The sequence below is a fragment of the Homo sapiens genome, chromosome 11 (assembly GCF_000001405.40).
Source record: "Homo sapiens chromosome 11, GRCh38.p14 Primary Assembly".
Taxonomy (NCBI): domain Eukaryota; kingdom Metazoa; phylum Chordata; class Mammalia; order Primates; family Hominidae; genus Homo; species Homo sapiens.
The window spans coordinates 92,619,171-92,634,800 of record NC_000011.10 but is presented as its reverse complement, the minus strand read 5'-3'; the positions used below and the strand labels follow the sequence as shown (position 1 = coordinate 92,634,800).

General features: G+C 39.7%; 1 protein-coding gene across 12 annotated transcripts in view, besides 1 other annotated feature; it reads right to left on the bottom strand.

Moving 5' to 3' along the window:
- FAT3 (FAT atypical cadherin 3) overlaps nucleotides 1-15,630 on the bottom strand; it is a 671,656-nt gene that overhangs the window by 261,673 nt on the left and 394,353 nt on the right. Inside the window, exon 4 of one of the 12 annotated variants that reach the window (NM_001378141.1) lies at nucleotides 12,987-13,977. The exons of the other annotated variants lie outside the window; for them this stretch is intronic. Coding sequence (NP_001365070.1) covers nucleotides 13,868-13,977 — 110 coding nt within the window. The 3' untranslated portion in view covers nucleotides 12,987-13,867. Of the gene's footprint in view, nucleotides 1-12,986; nucleotides 13,978-15,630 lie in introns of those variants that run through there. 12 annotated transcript variants of the gene reach the window in all.
- Nucleotides 6,569-7,768: an enhancer, noted in NCBI's record as "CDK7 strongly-dependent group 2 enhancer chr11:92360199-92361398 (GRCh37/hg19 assembly coordinates)". NCBI's record gives its function as "activates an origin of replication core promoter dependent on BRD2, BRD4, P300/CBP, MED14 and CDK7 cofactors, with strong dependence on CDK7, by STARR-seq in HCT116 cells {active_cell/tissue: HCT116}" and the evidence as "EXISTENCE:reporter gene assay evidence [ECO:0000049][PMID:35650434]".

Sequence of the window (15,630 nt, the reverse complement as noted above, 5' to 3'; positions counted from 1 at the left end):
GGCTCGGCTTCAGCATATGAATTTTTGGGGAACACAAATGTTCAGTCCATAACACTACTTATCTCATTCTTGTACAGTGCTCATTGATTCCTGAGCAATGCTCATATGTTCCTGTGCTGTGTGGAGAGCCAGGTCCTCAAAGTGTGCATAACTGGCCCCAGCTGAGGAACTCCTGCAGAGGATCTCAGTACCTCTGCTTGCTGAAGTCTGCAAGAAGCCCTGCGCTCTACTCTTTGGAATAGATGAGCAGTAATCATGATTCAAAGATAAGAAAATAAGATTTATTAGAAGCAGTCAAGAACAAGAATTGTCCAGCTGAGTGAAGATGGAGAGGACTTAACAATCTTCAGTATAGGAGGAGATACTATGAACAAAATCCTGTCTGGCTGTTCCTTATTCTAGTCAGGAGAAAATAGGATGAAGCTACAACACTGGGAAACTCCTTGACAATACAAATTTTTCTACTGACCATGAGGATTCAGAGATAGGGAAATAGAAAACAAAAGGGGGATTTGGGTTCCCAAAAGCTATAAAGAATAGGCTGGGATCCAAAATGGCCAGAAGAAATCCTGGTAGGTCAGAACCTCAACACAGAGTCTATCATGTTAGTTCCTGTCTGTTGTGTTTGGGATGCTACCCATTTAATAACTCACTGCAAAAATCTCTGCATTTCTGAATCTCTGTGTAGGGCTGCTGTAGTCTAGAAGATCGCTGCTTATAACATAACCTTCTAGTCAGCAGTGGACAGAGGTGTCTCACTTCCTTGTCATAAGGACTGAAAAGTTATGTGCATACCATGATCAGCACATACTCATGTATCAGTCTGTGCTTGGAACTGTTCATTTAATATCTGTATCCACAGCACTTAGCACAGTTCTCAGTACATAGAGACAACAGATACATTAATCTTTCTATCCTCAAGTAAAAATAATGACAGGCAGGCAGAAGATGAACCTAACTGAACCCTGACATGCTCAATTTTACTTTTTCTGTTAACTTCACTTATTGAAAATCACTTTTAAAACAACATCATTGTAAAGGGGGTTGACAATGATCAGATTCATATTTATGAAGTGATACATTTCTCCTTCTATCCTTTGCCTCCAATTGACCCATAAGTGGCAGGATGAGCAAGAGCCTGGTAGACACGGTTTGTTGATCAATGTACTGTTTAAAAAGAGGTGTTGACTGTTTGTCATCCATATGCTAAAAAATTTGCTTTTTTATCCCAATCCCCGTGTCAGTCCTCTGAATTTGAGGACACAGAGAATGAAGGACACACTGTGGAACTAGTCAACAGTCTACTAGATTATGCTGACCCCCACTTATTGACATTTGTAAAGTTCACATCATCGTCCTAATTTTTAGGATGTTGGCAAACAAAATAATGTTCTTAAAGTCACTCTCTGACAACACATTTGGCTGATGCTGGCCTGGAAGACATAACCATCACATTTTCTGTTATCTGGGGACATCCATCAGATAAAAAAAAAAGACTGAGCCCAAGTGAAACTAGGACTCCCTTATATCAAGGCTGTGAAAGCTGTCTTTTCTATTTAAAAAATTACTGACTCACAAGAGATTCAAAGTTCCTCAGTTGAAGTCCTCTTGTAAGTGAAAAGTTCCTTTTGTTTGCAAAGCCATTTATGCATAAATAAACAGAGTTGGTGACAGTCAACCCACACCTATGTCATAGAGCATTAGAGAATAAAAGAAAAATCAAGAACCAGGAACATACCACTTATCAAATAAACACAGTAAATTATAACACCATGATTGTAGTTAATTATTATCCACAAAGGTAGCAGGTACAAAATAAGGAGAACTGTGATGAGAACAAGGATCAGGGGCAATGTTCCATAGCACATGAGCCACTTTGTTAGGGGCAGTGACTGTAACTCACACTCTAAGATGTGTTTCTCCAAAGACTGAGGAGTGAAGAGAGGCACTTCCCTTCTGACCTAAGGCTGCAACAGGAATTAACCTCTGATGATACATCTCAGGTGACATCTGGACAAGCAAATTTACTAGCCAGAAGGTGGAATTCCATCAATGCCTCTCTGCCTCCTGCCATTGAACCTGCAGCACACGGAACTTCCCTTAGGAACTGGTCAGGGGCTGAGTTCCACTGTGGGAATGTGTGTACTGCCTTGCCTTGTTTACCTTCTTAACTCCTCTCCTTTCATATGCCTCTGAACAGGACCTGGCCCCAAGGAGGCCTCACCTTCTGCCTGCAGAAGAGAAGTGACTGCCTAATCTTCAGGAGCAGTCAGGTCGAGTTCAACAAATGCTTTTTGAAGCCGATTTTCAGGTGGTGATTATCCAGTTGTTGCCTTGCTCATCCCCTCACTGCATACAGCTCCTTTTCCAGTAACCCGTCTGCCTCTCGGCCATTTTGCCTCTCATTAGTGCCTTTCATGAAAGCATCCTGGGAAACAAGGGGATGTGAAATTTAAATGACTGCTGGTTTGACAGCAGGAAAGATAAAAAATACTGAGTGACTCTAGATTTTTATATTTTCCTGCAGATTTAAATTATCCATACTGTGCCTAGTCCTCATTAGCATGGATAGGCAAGGTCTTGCTAGAATGGCTGTATTTAGTATGTGGCAGGTTGTGCAGCAAACTATCCCACAAGTCTTCACAGATGTTCTGTGTTGATGATCTTTTAGAAGGAGTGGCTGAAGCAAAGAAAAATACTACAAATATAATCCTTAAAACAGTAACTGTAAACACAGACTTCCAAATGTTACCTATCACCCTGGCTACATCAAGAACCACTTATTTAAGCTGACATATTTCCTCCAAGAAACTACAAATGCTCTTTATACATTGTACAGCTATCCAGTGAAGGGCCAGAAAAGCTGGCAGCTTTACAGAGGGAGACATAGAGGCAAAGGGAAGCTCAGTGGCTTCCATAATATCGAAGAACACAGAAGCTCTCCATTTTCCCAAGTCACTGGCTCACTGGACAAGGCGCTCAGTGCTCTGAGCTCCACTTTCTGCTTGTCTCTGGTTTACTGAGGAAAAAAAGAATTATAGGTTTTAATTTCCTCATATTTTATTGTAGCAATTAATCCTCTGTATTAGTTCATTTTGGCATTGCTATAAAGAAATACCTGACACTGGGTAATTTATAAAGAAAACGGGTTTAATTGACTCACAGTTCTGCATGGCTGGGGAGACCTCAGGAAACTTGTGATCATGGCAGAAGGCGAAGGGGAAGAAAGGCACGTCTTACATGGTAGCAGGAGAGACAGAAAGCAAAGGGGGAAGAGCCCTTTATAAAACCATCAGATGTCATGAGAACTCACTCACTATCATGAGAAAGGCATGGGAAAAACCACCCCCATGATCCAAACACCTCCCACCAGCTCCCTCCCTCAACACCTGGGGATTACAGTTCTAGATGAGATCTGGGTGGGAACACACAGCCAAACCATATCACCCTCCATTCTGAAAGATCCAAAAGACAAATCAGAGACTCAGTGAGAAGACTGTCATGGTGACCCTTTTTGACAGAGAAGAATCAAACCATGCTGACAATGCCTATAATTCACCAATAACCTGAATGGGTCAGGGGAGAATACACAAGTCTGAGGAACTCACTGTAAAGTTCAAATTTATAGCAGTAAAACTAGAGCTAGATCACTTTTAAACAAAATAGCCACCCTCTCAGTGTGAGAGAAGATTCCAGCTGACCTAGTTTGGTGCTGAAGACCTGAAGGAGGGAAATAAATATCAAAATTCTTGACTTAATACCAATACCAATATGGTTGCTGGCAATTCACATTTTAAACATGTTAGCCCTTAAGCTCACTGCTTTATATGTTGTATTTGTAAATAATAATTTCCAAAAAAGCTGTGAGCTAGATGGTTCATGCTTTCATTTATCTAACTCTATTGATCACCTACCATGAATGCTGCTACTAGCTGAGAATATGGCATGAAGAAGCCATACTTTCTAAATTCATGGAGTTAAGCATTCAATAGGGGTGGGTGAGAACATAAATTACTGCTATATACCTGGGAGAACCTGCCAGAAGGCTGTCACAAGGGGTGATGAGGATCTGAAGCTGAGACACAGAGGAGAAAACACATCCAAGAAATATTTAGGAGGAAAATTGGAAGGGTTTGATAATTCTTTGATGTTGGAAGTGAGAAAAATTAGAGGAGGATGGCTTCAGGTTTTTAGCTTGGTTGACAGTGGGATCTCCGTTGGGGGAAAACATACTGTGGAAGGTTTAGTGAGAAGACAACAAGTTTGGTTTTGGACAAGCTGAGCCTAAGGAGCTGACAGGGCATCCAGACACACATATACTCAGCACACAGAGATATCTATGAATCTGAAGCTTAGGTAAGACACAGTCAAAGTTGTAAGTACCTGTGGGTGCCATCAACAGATATGTGGTAGTTAAGCTACAGGAATGGATGAAATTGCTTGGTCTGTAGGGAAATAAAATTAGAGGGCCGAGCATGGTATCCTGGGGAAAACCAACAGTTACAGAGTAGGATGAGGAATTGGAATCATCAAAGAGACCAAAGGGCTGATTAAGAGAGCACAGTGTCACAGGCATCAAGGGGCAAGGAATTCCAAAGTGGGAGTGGCCAGCCACATCTAGTGTTCTACAGTGAACACACATGCCATTTCATTCAGCAGGTAGGGAGGGCCATGCGATCCTGGCAAAAGCATTTTCACCCACACAAGAGAGGTAGAAGCCAGATGGAGAAGGACTGATGAGTGATTAAGATGAGAGGAATTAAGAAATGAGTACCAATTACTGTCCAATATCTGAGCGCACACCAGAATCACCCAGAGAGCTTGCTAAAAAAAACAAAGATTTGGGTCACACCCTGAATCTTCTGAATCAACCCCTCTGAATGGAGACCTACAAATATGTATTTTAATAGGCTCCTCTGGTGAATTCTGATGTACATGTTGTTTGGGAACAGTAGACTATTATTTCAAGACACTTGGCACAAAATGGAATGAGAGACATGGGGCAGGAGTCTGATTTAGATGATGGTGGGAAGCAAGCATAGTAGGAGAGACAGGCATATTTATAGGTTGGTGCTGAAGAAGGGGAAGGAGGTTGGACACATTGGCTCACACCTATAATCCCAGAACTTTGGGAGGCTGAGGCAGGAGGATTGCTTGAGACCAAGAGTTTGAGACCAGCCTGGGCAACATAGTGAGAATCAATCTCTACAAAGAATTTAAAAATTATCTGGATGTGGTGGCACGTGCCTATAGTCCTAGCTACTTGGAAGGCTGAGGCGAGGCAGGAGGATTGCTTGAGCCCAGGAGTTTGAGGCCATACTCCAGCCTAGCAGCCTGGGTGAACAGTGTGAGACCTAGTCTCTTAAAAAGAAAAAAAAAAAAAAAAAAAGGTAGGGGAAGGAGAGGTAATAGTGCCAACAGAGAAGAGGCAGATGATCCCAGGCAGAGATATCCACTGCTTAGCACATAGAAAGAGCTTGATAAAATGTCAGTCACCTCTTCTTCTTTCAGTTTCCCTTTAGTAAAATGATATTTCTAGCTTAGTTATGAGTAACTGAATTTTCCCACTGCTACTATATCTTGATTTATTTCCAGTTGCACTGATTAATAAAGAATGATCAACTTGCAGGGAAAGATCTCAGTGTATACTATGAGTTAGTTGGCCCTGCTAGAGAGTGCTGCAGTTTTAGTTGGTATCTCATATAAGAAAGGTTGTACTTCCTTCTTTCTCTTGTCACTGTTTTAATCATGAATGACTGAAAAGCTGGGCTGCTTAAGAGCAGAAGATAAGTTCTACCACATTATGAAAAGAAAGCTTAATGCACTACTCCCTTCAAAAAGTCTGTGATAGGGTCATTTCAAGGAAGAAGTCCTGCAGTGTGTGTGTGTGAGTGTGTGTGTGTGCATGAGTGCACGTGTGCCTGTGCACACACGTGCATGCACCCTTCTTCTTTCAGAAGATCCAGCTGCCAAGTCATCACCTTAAATAATAGCTCCCCACACATGACATCATAATAGTCTCCACAGCAACTGTGAATGATATTACAAACCTGTCTGGGGCTAAATGGGAAGGATAAGCAAAAAGACAAGAGTGGACAATCTCCTAAGCAACAAATGCGCTTTTTCCATGGAAACACCGCCTTTTGGAAAAGAAAAGGAAACACAGATAATAGACATAGGTACACAATAGTTCCTAAATATAGCATTTCACTAAGCACTCTGTCAATTGCAATTTAAAGACCATTCAACCTATGAGAATAATAGCTGGAAGAAAAGCTTCCCCTAGTTTAATGTTTCAAGAGAGGAGGGCAGAGCATTTTTCTTGAAGTCAGTCATCACATATTATCATAGCTGCTCACAAAAAAGGGCAAATGTGAATGGAGTAAGATATTAGTAAGCTTTCAGGTTTGCTCCACTTTAGGAAAACACGAAGAACAGAAGCTAAACTTAATAAACCAGATAAATTATAAGGAGGTAATTAACATTATAAAAAGGCCTTATGAAGAGAGTCAAGTAAGATTCCTTTGAAATAGCAAGCTCCCCTAGTGAACATAAGACAAAATTTACATTCTAAAAGTTACTTAAACAATGATTTCAGGAACTATTTGCTAAATATACCAAAGGGTCAGTGCACATGTGCATTACTCAGTAGTAAAGGCCCTGTCGCTCATGGCCCATTATGGTCAGACATCATGCTATGTCTTAGGCATCCGGTATCTGAACTATCCCATAAAACAACCCAGTGAGGAAGACTATACTGACCTGTGTGTCAAATGAGGAAATGGTGGCTGGGCGAGTCAACATTTCTGAGGTCGCACAGTAGGTGTCAAGCTCTGACTCAGACCTGTCTCCTGGCTTCAAAGCCCCACGCTCCAGTCATGGGCTCTGTCACCTCTGCACAGCCTTGCTCACTCACAAAGATGTTCATATTGTACCTTTTCCTGTAATCCCTTCATGATTAATGTCAACTCATCCTTTTAATGCCATCACCCTATTTATCAATGGCATGCACTCTGCTTTCTACACGGTAATCACTGACTGTTAGAGGAAGTGGGCCTTTCAAGGGAACCTGCCCAAGTGTCTCATGTTATTGCTAAGGAACGTCTAAAGAGAGTAAATTCCTTTTACAAAGGTGAGACTAGAATCACTGTCTTTCCCTGGCTCTCAAACCACAGCTTCTCCTCAGCTCACATCTTTTATGACTTCATCCTTTTATTTATTATTAATAAATTATTTTCCTAAGGGGACATCTCTATCCCTCTCCCTTCCCCTCTCTCTACCCCATCCAACTATAAATTCCAAAAGATTTAGGAGCCATATTATATGATAAAAGTTTAAATCCCAGGAAACACTTTCACAAAAGACTGCCTTCCACTCTATGAACTGTTAAATAAGGAGAACTTCAGAGGAGGCAGCTGCCTTTATCCATCCTTCCCCAGCCCGTCATAAAGTCATACATCCTTAGATTGTATTTATCTTCCCTGATGCGATAGAACCTTCACCTATGAATCAAGCTATTGACCTTATTTGCTCATAGAGAGACACTGAAATCACTGCTCTGTGTCTTTCTTACTAACCTTTATATAAAGAGGTCTCCCTCTTATTAATCAGCGACGAACATTCATTAATATTAACATGAGTTACACACATATCAAAGAAGACCCCAAGTATTAGACAACATTTAATTTTCTCTGAAGGCCTTTAAAAAGTAAGACATTCATAGATTACTCATAACTAATAAATGGGGATTTGTAGGCTGATTAAAATTCACAGAATGAGGAAGTCTATGCCTATTTCAACAATGTTACAGCTCCATTAATAGAATTCACTCATTTTTTCTTAAGGATATCACTGGGTAAATTCAGTGTCATTATATCAAATGGCTCTTACTGGGTTGGAGAGTATTAATGATGGGGGCTCCCTCCATAGCAGAACAAGCACCATGCATAGTTCATGAGAAGTGGAATAAGCAAGCTTAATAGCTGGCAGATCCAATGGAGCGGAGGATATCTGCCCTGACAGCCCTGTGACAGCCATCTCACTTACTCTAGGCTTTCCTTAACTCTTTGTTGGTTTAGGGAGAAAATCTAAACCTCTCCACAATTATTCAAGTTTCTCATGAAAACCCTCTCCATTTCTCCATCAAGACAAAATTCTAAGATTACTCCCCCAGTTCATTCTGGATACACTTGAGTGTCTTCTGGAACACAATAAGTGCCCCCCGAAAAGACCCATGCAACTATCAGGAAGAGATGCCACTGGGCTCTTTTATAAATGAACTCACTAAGAAAAGCATCAAGGTTATTTTTTGAAGGGAAAAAAAAAAAAAGAGATACGCTACGCCAATTTCAAATTCCCTTTTTCTTGATCTAAAAAAATAGTCTTTCTGCTTAGCTAAAAAATTGGTACATTAAATTATTTTTTGGATCTCTCTCACCTAAAAAGTCCCAGGTGGTTATCTCTAAATCCCCTGATTAAATCAGGGAATTAAATCAGGCTAGCAAAGTAAATCTCAACTTTTGAAACTATTATCTCAATTATCTTTCTTTAAAATTAACTTTCAACAATAATAATTTAGACAAATATAATTCCAGTGCCTTTCTTAAACTGAGGAGAAAAACAACCTTAGATAAATTCACTCAGGCTTTGGGGCTGCTCCAGGGGCTGCAATAAAGGGAGTTTTCCAGAGTAATACTTGGTCACGTTCCAAACCTGAGGCATCCTCCAGCTAATCCTCCATTAGGATGTCATTTGTTTGGTTCACTTCAAAGTTCTGGCTACTCTCTTGCATTTTTCTGAAAACAAGGAGTTATCTGTGGAAATAATTTTGTCAGGCAATTTGGCAAGTCACTTACAATACTCATTAATTTCAGTACTTTAATTAAACCCAGGAAGTCACCCTGTCCAATGTGATTCTCCTCTCTGGGTCACAATTCATCTTTGCCTTCAATAGGACCCAGTGTTTCAAAGTGACAAATGAGAGAAATCTCAGGCCTGGGGTTAGCTAAGTGTGTCTTAGCACTTGGCCAATATTGACTATCCTGTTCAAAAAAAAAAAAAAGTTGAAGGACAGATACTTGGTTTCCTGATTTGGGGGCTGACAATCTGCCCACCCTACCTCACCCCATAAAACATCAAATAGCCATAGCCAATGACAACTTTGGGGAAATAAAGAGTCATCAGTGTGGCATCTGTGTGTATGTAGCTGCTAAATTTGACAGTAACATCTTTGCTCTCTGGGCCATCGGTGTGAGCTTTGTTGGGTGCTCCAGCTGACAGTATGATTGTGGAGAGCTTCTAGAGGCTGGTGTTGCAGGCCTCAGGTGTCATTCTTGATGATAACAACCACTGTCTTGGGCAGGGGGAGTTGAAACATGGATTAATGTCATCCAAACAGAATGCCTTCCAGGCTATAGGATCTGACAGCCAGTGTATAAGATGGACAGCCCATGGTTTCTTCAGAGCCCCACTCCTCCAGGCACTGTCAGAAGACTAAACCAATAAAGCAAGAGGAACCCAGAGAGAGAGTTGTTGCATAGGCATAACATAAAAGTCACAAAAGCAAGCAGTTATTGGGCCATAATACTATAATAAATTTAACAAAAATGTGGCATGGGCAGCATAGCATGAAACCAATTTCATCCTCTTGCCCCAGCATCCATCAAATCTCCTTTTCTCGTGTTCTCTGTCTCAGGGAATGGCCCTACACCCACCATGATGGGTTAAATTGTGTCTTATTTGGAGACATGGTCTCTACAGAGGTTATCAAATTAAAATGAGGTCATTAGGGTAGGCTCTAATCCAATATTACTGGTGTTCTAATAAAAGGGGAAAATCTGGATACAGAGACAGAAATGCATAGAGGAAGGTGATGTGAAGAGACATACGATAACAATAGAAATCTTCAAGCCAAGAAGAGCAGCTTTGAACAGATCGTCTCTCAGAGTCCTCAGAAGAAGGCCACCCTGCCAAAACATTGATTTCAGAATTCTGGCCTCCAGAACTGTAAGACAACAAATTTCTGCTGTTTAAGTCACTCAGTTTGTGGTGCTTTTTGTAGCAGCCCCAGCAAACTAAAACACCCCCAAGCCAGACTCTGACATTTCCTCTCTCTCTAAATCCACAGCCCAGCAGTCTATGGTCCCACTGATTGTATCTAATTGCTATTTTTGGAGTTATTTCTCTCTACCACCTTATTAGACTTTAATTCAGGCCACCATTGCCTTCCACATGGATCACTAGCAAAGGCCCTTGAATTTCGCCACCTGCCAATTCTCACATTTGCCAAGGTTGTCTTTCTGTATTGCAAGTCCATTTTCAAACATTCAGTGCACCCCTCCTAGCATCAGAGTAGAGAAAAGTGTCCTTAGTCTAAACATGCCAGGCCCTTTAGGATCTGACCCAGACAAGTTCTAAGTTTTTTTCCTGCTAATTTCTCCACTGTCAAATCCATGGTTCCAACTTTAACCGGCTTCCTAAGTCCGTCAGACATCACCCATCTCTGTGTTCATGTACCTACCTCTGCAAAGGAATGTTTTTCTTCTTGCTCTTCATCCGGCAAAATACTACACAACCACAGGCAGGTGTCATCACTTTCAAGGGCTTCTCTGAGAAGCTTTCCCTGACTCCAGTAGGGCTTAGTTACTTTCTTGAACTGCTCCCATAGTAGTGTGCATGATTCCAAAACTGTCTTTGCATTGTAATAGCTTTTTGCCTCTGAGTTCCCTGGGAGCAGAGGTCATATTTTGTTTGTCTATGTATCCATTTGTATTTGTATCTAGCATAATGCTGGCCACAAAAAAATAGTTTCATAAATATCTGTTATACGGGGTAAGCGATTTTAATTTTTTTTTTCTTTGAGGCAGAGTCTCGCTTTGTCATCCAGGTTGGAGTGCAGTGGTGCGATCTCAGCTCACCGCAAGCTCTGCCTCCCGGGTTCACGCCATTCTCCTGCCTCAGCCTCCCGAGTAGCTGGGACTACAGGCACCCGCCTCAATGCCCAGCTAATTTTTTGTATTTTTAGTAGAGACGGGGTTTCACCATGTTAGCCAGGATGGTCTCGATCTCCTGACCTCGTGATCCACCCGCCTTGGCCTCCCAAAGTGCTGGGATTACAGGTATGAGACACCATGCCCAGCCACTGTTTAAATATTTTAAAGCAGGCAATACAAATTCTGTTACACCCTAAATGTTATAATTAAAAAACCCACACCATTTAGTATTCTTTCTAAGGCAGCAAATAAAAATATGAACTATCTTGCTTTCATATAACATCAACATGCATATTTCCATTCTCTTTTCAGTATATATAACAAAAACTCGAGTTGACATATCCTCCGCTAATCTAACTGATTTAAGACCAGTTCCTCAAGTCAATTCAATGCAATTCTAACTTAATAGCATATAGATAGTATGAGTACTGCTATGTGTTGAACATTAAGATATTAGAGGAGGCAAGAGAGGAGAGTGAGAAAAGCAAGTGGTGTGAGGAAGACTGAAAATGCTAAAATGAGTAAGACATGGCCCTTGTCTTCAGTAAGCTCACAGGTCACTGGGGGAAGCATACCTTCTTCATCTACAACATTTAGTCAGATTTGACTAATGTAGCAACATGTAGCAACATGTAGCAACATGGGACTATGGCAGGTCAGCATGATAGAAAGTGTTTGCATTTGGTTTATTTTCTAAGCTTTTAAGACAACATCAGAGATGAACGCCAAGGATTTCAAGAGCAGAGGGTAAAAGACATTCAGAGACATCACTGGAGTCAGCCTTGTTATGGGAAGTGCCTTGAATCCAAGCTTGCTGGGATGCTTCTCTGGGGGATCTCGTGGTCAGGGGCTGATATATTGTCATGGAACCACCCAGGAGTAGGGTCATAATTCTTTAAGAGGAAGCTTGTTCACACAGCATAGGTAGACATGAGGCTCCTTTGGCAGCCAAGTGTCTTATAGGGAGTCTCAGGGAAGAAGAGCATCATTTCAGGCAGAAGATTTAAATTCTTTTTAATTAACTTTTGGGGCTTTACGAAGAAAGTACTAGAGCACAAATGAGAACTCTCTGTGACCGTGCAATTGAAAAGCCCTCTTTCCTAATCTTTTAGCTGGTTTTCCACTACTTCTTCCTAAAATGTCATGAAAACAGGTCATGCATGACTTCTGATGTGTGACGCTTCAGCTAGACAGTTGATATATAAATATACATAGCAATCTTGTTTCTTATCATAAGGGAAAACCTCAGATGCTCCCCAGAAGTCAAGGCTGAGGAAGCAGCAATGATGGATTCACAATCAAATCTTACTCAACAATGATCTCACCCTCTGTCTCTCTATTTGCTTGTACAAACACAGTATTGTATGCACTTTACTGCCTCCAAAGAATTACTTAGCAAGGTATTATTGGGATTATTGTTTATAATCAATAAATACTATTTAGTACAAAAATAATTTTATTACTAAGAGAATTAACTGCATTAATCTTGGGAAGTCTTTCATAATTATGTTCCACCATTTTTTTTTTTGAGATGGAGTCTTGCTCTTGCCTATGCTGGAGTCCAGTGGCATGATATGGGCTCACTGCAACCTTCATTTCCTAGATTCAAGCGATTCTTCTGCCTCAGTCTCCCGACTAGCTGGGATTACAGGCGCACCACCATGCCTGGATAATTTTTGTATTTTTAGTAGAGACGGGGTTTCACCATGTTGGCTAGGCCAGTTCACCACATTTTTTAAGGTGCTGGGGGAAAATTACCTAGGGGCTAATGGATAAGAATTTGCATCTACAATGGACTACCTACTTAACAAGCCCCTAAATCAGTGGATCTAAACATGTCAATGCATTCGAATTACGTGGGTTGTTAAAATGTAGATTCCTGAGCCACTATCTACAGCCACTGTGCCAAAATCTGATTTTTAAACACGCATCCTAGGGGTTTCTGATAAAGGGCTCCGCTGATCGTGGCGTGAAAAACAACACTGTGAATATTCATTGATTGAGGTTGGCTTTTATTACAAGCATATACAATTTTAATGCCATTCTTAATATACGAATTCAAGCAATTCAAATAACAGGCCTTAGGAATCACAACATTCAAAGAACAGAACGGATTACAAGAACAAGACTTTACAATAAAATAACAAGTAGAAGAACAATCCTGATCATTAATGCTAAAAGAAACAAGATGGCCATGAGCTGCATGTGCTGTGGAACCTAGTGATGTTGCAGCAGCATTTGGCATTGGAAGAAGTGAGCCAGATCACACAGTGAAGTTTATGCCAAGCATCTTTGTGGGGCACTTGATTTTCTCCAACTCCTCCAAAAAATTGATCTAGTTGAATAAGCTTTAACATCTCAAGGAGGAGGAGCTGGGGATGAAATACAAGCCTTAAGGATAAGCAAAAAGTGCTAGCGATTTTGTCCATCTGGAAATAGTTGTTTTGCAAAGACCTTCTTAAAACTCTTTTTTCCTTCTCCCCACCTTCTGCATAATATAAATAATTCTCCTACTCCTTCAATTTATCTGTTTGGATACTCTTGATTCATTGATCAACCCAGAGCATATGTAACTATTTCCCCTTGGCTGACTGGGAAGGAGACACGTGATCACGATAAAGGCAGAGTTACATTTTGGAATCAAAATTTAAGGAGGGAGTTTTCAAGATCAGCCTTGATTTGGGATGGTGATTGTATGGATTGCATGTTTGTGTCCCTCCCAACCCCAAAATTTGTATGTTGAAACTCTAATCTTTAATACCATGATAGTTTAAAATGAGGCCTCTGGGAGGTAATTAGAGTGGAGCCTGCATGATGGGATTAGTGCTGATATAAGAAGAGACATGAGAGAGCTTGCTTCTTCTCTCTCTGCTCTGTCATGTGAGGACATAACAAAAAGACAGCTCTCTGCAATCCAGGAAAAGTGCCCCTTCCAGACACCAGATCTGCTGGCTCCTTGACTTTAGAATTCCCAGACTCTTCCAGCCTTAAATGGTGAGAAATAAATGTTGCTTAAGTCACCCACATCAGAGTATTCCGTTACAGCAGTCTGAATTAAGATAATCATAAAAGAAATAACTTTAAAAAAATCAAATAAAAGAGTCTTTGATAGGAATAAGCCCAGTAGTCTTAATCATCAATTAAAAATATAATTTTTTTTAATAATGGAAGAATAAGTGTGAATGAGAATGTACTTAATAAATTAAAACAAGTTTCCCTAATTAGCTTAGAAGACGGTTTGACTGAAATTTGGTTAAAAAAAATCAAGATTATTGCTACAGTTAGCTACTGGGGAGAAAGGTAAAATGTTTTCAAGCACAGGGCTTAAATCAGCACAAGATTTATACTATTGATATTTCTACATGAAAGTACATGTGCCATGGAACAACTATGCAAAAGATCAACCATAAAATAGAAGACTTGAACAATGCTCTAAGCCAACTAGACCAAAGACAAAAATACATAACACTATATTCAGTGGCAACAGAGCACGTATTTTTCTCAAGTGCACATGGAACATTCTTCAGGATAGACCATCTATTAGGCCATAGAACAATCCTTAATAAATTTAAAAAGATTGGAATTATACAGAGTGTGTTCCCTTGTAACAGTGGAATAAAATTAGAAATTAATAGCAAAAGTACATTTTTAAAAATCTCATATATGTGAAAATTAAACAACACACTCCTAAATAATCAATGGGTCAATGTAGGTAGAAATACTAAGAGAAATTAGAAATACTTTGAAATAAATGAAAATAAAAGCATAACATAGATGTACCCCACAACTTATGAGATGCAGTAAAGCAATGCTTAGAGGAAAACTGATAGCTATAAATGACTTTTTTAATAGCTATAAATTTATAAAATGTATTATAAAAACCAAATCAATAACCTAAACTTCCAGTGAAAAAGGAAGAGCAAATTAAACCTAAAGCAAGTAGAAGAAAGGTGGTGGTGGAAATCAATGAAATAGAAAAAAAGAAGTCAACAAAACTAAAAGTGTTTTTTTTAAAAAGCTCAACAAATTTGACAAAATTGAGCTAGAGTGATCAAGAAAAAGAAGAGAGGGGACTCAAATTGCTAAAATCAGAAATGAGAAACGACTATTAACTTTACAAAAATAAAAGAGATCATAGGGACATATTATGAATAACTATATTACAACAAATTGGATAACTTAGAAAAAATGAAAAAAATCCTAGAAGGAAAATACCAAACTTGACTCAGGGAGAAACAGTAAATCTGAATAGGCATATTGGAAGTACAGAGAATGAATTAATAATTAAAAGCAAAACAAAAAATCTTCCCACAGATAAAAGACCAATTCCAGGTGGCTTCGCTGGTGAATTGGAACAAATTTACAAATGAATTAATACCAATTCTTCACAAACTCTTCCAAAATATAGGGGAGAAGAGAACATTTCTCAATTCATTCTATAAGGACAGTTTTATCCTGATACCAAAATCATCACAAGAAAGGAAAACCAAAGATCAATATCTCTTATGAATATATATGCAAAAGTTATATCTCTTATGAATATATATGCAAAAGTTATCAACAAATACTAGCAAACTGAATCCAGCAAAGAATAAAAAAGGTTATACAACATGGTTAATTGGGCTTTCTCCCACAAATA